Source organism: Homo sapiens, chromosome 5, assembly GCF_000001405.40.
Source record: "Homo sapiens chromosome 5, GRCh38.p14 Primary Assembly".
Taxonomy (NCBI): Eukaryota; Metazoa; Chordata; class Mammalia; order Primates; family Hominidae; genus Homo; species Homo sapiens.
In genome coordinates, this window is record NC_000005.10 from 99378363 (window position 1) to 99380190 (window position 1828).

General features: G+C 35.8%; 1 annotated feature.

Moving 5' to 3' along the window:
* Nucleotides 741-1301: an enhancer, noted in NCBI's record as "NANOG hESC enhancer chr5:98714807-98715367 (GRCh37/hg19 assembly coordinates)". NCBI's record gives its function as "activates a minimal SCP1, AML or CMV promoter by ChIP-STARR-seq in primed H9 embryonic stem cells {active_cell/tissue: H9 hESC(primed)}" and the evidence as "EXISTENCE:reporter gene assay evidence [ECO:0000049][PMID:30033119]".

The following is a 1828-nucleotide window of genomic DNA, read 5'->3' on the forward strand; positions in this document are numbered from 1 at the left end:
AATACCCATTAACATGGTCCCATTCAAATGAACATTCTCCACCGAAGTCATATTCTGCCCCTCTTCAAACGAGGAAAGAATTACAGCTTTTAAAAATTTTTCTATTTTTTTCCTCCCTTTGCTTAGGGATGATATTTAGCTTGTATGTACCCTATGGCTATTATAGTTGCTAAAATTTTGAAATACTTCTATACCAGTTAGTTAACAGTCCTTGCCTAAGCCCTGTGACCACACCCTCTCACCACAGTGTCTTGGCCCAAATCTTCCTACAAACGAGTAACTAATGACTTGATACCTGACACTGCAGGTGGCTCTAGGGCTCTGCACAAACACCTTCTCCCCAGTTGGCCTCAGTGATTCGCCTGTTGAACTGATGGTTAAATATTTTGAAAATCATCACTGAAAACACATATTACAGAATGCTTATTGGATATCACTAAACTTACCATTTTCCTCTTTCCTCACTCTCAAAACAAACAAAAATAACAAACACAAGTAAGAACAACAACAAAAACAACCCATCTTGGTCTTCTTCTATAATTCTTCAGTAAATTCACTGCAATGACATAAGCTAAAAACTTATCCTATCTCACATTTATGGCTCAAATCCAAACTGTCTCTAGGTTCTGCCTATTTTACCTCCTTGGACATATTCAGATCTATTCCATGCTCTTTGTCCTGTCTATCTTCTTTAGTTTAGACACTGGCTGACAGTTTCTCCTTTGTGTGGTTGCAGTAAATCATAACTCATGTCCCTGCCTCCAATATTGTTCCTTTCAAATTCATCTTCCACAGAACTACAAAGGGTTCTATCCAAACCCCAAATATATCCCTTGCTTGATTAAATCCAACCAAAATGCCCATTTTCTATGAGCCTCTCTGGCTTAATATTCAAAGCCCTTCACGATCGGGCCAACTGTCAGAGTCCTCTTTTGCTATGCCCTTGTACTTACACTGTATTCTAGCTTTGCTAAGCTGCTTGTGATCACAAAGCCTCATCAGTCTGGAAATCCCCTTTTTCTTGTTGCTCTACAGGGGAGCTCCTATTCATCCTTCAAGGATCAGCTTAAGTGTCACATCCTCTATAGATTCTTCCCCTACCATTTTTTTCTCCCCCAACTTCTTTCACCTTTTAATAAGAACGTTTCCATACCAGTGATCAAATGTGACATGCAGTTTTGTGCGTCTTAATTCACTTGTCTATCTCTTCCACTTGGTTTAGGATTTTTGAGGGCAATAATTTTATCTTAGTCTTTATTTCAGTGGCATTTAGTATATTGCCTAACAGTAAGTTACAGACTAAATAAATCAACAATAAATAAATAATAGATCCTTTCACCTGAGGATTTGTACATAAAGGACCATATTTATGAATCAGGTTTGTAGAGACCAAAAGTAAATTGCCTTTTCTTTGTAAGTATTGGGAATAATCATTTTAACTTTGTTTCCTTTGCTTAGATAAAAATAGAGTTGATGGTATTAGAAAGTGAAGTTGCCAAGTGATGAAATGGGTGATCATATATTAGTGTATCAATGATCTCTTATGTCCTAAATTTTCTAATTTAATTTTCTAATTAAATTCTGCCATATAGGCACAGTCTCATGCACTAATGAAATGAAAAAAAATATAAGGTTTGTGTTGTTTTGAAATGTCAGCTAAAAAACAGGGACATCCATTTAAATAAGTAAGAAGACATTCTTTTTCCATCTTGGGTTATGTTAAAATCTGATGGCACAAAAATACCTTGTCACATTCAGACTTATTTCTTATATTAGTTTCCAACAAATAAAAACCTATTCTCCTGCTCTTAAATATCAGATTCTAGAG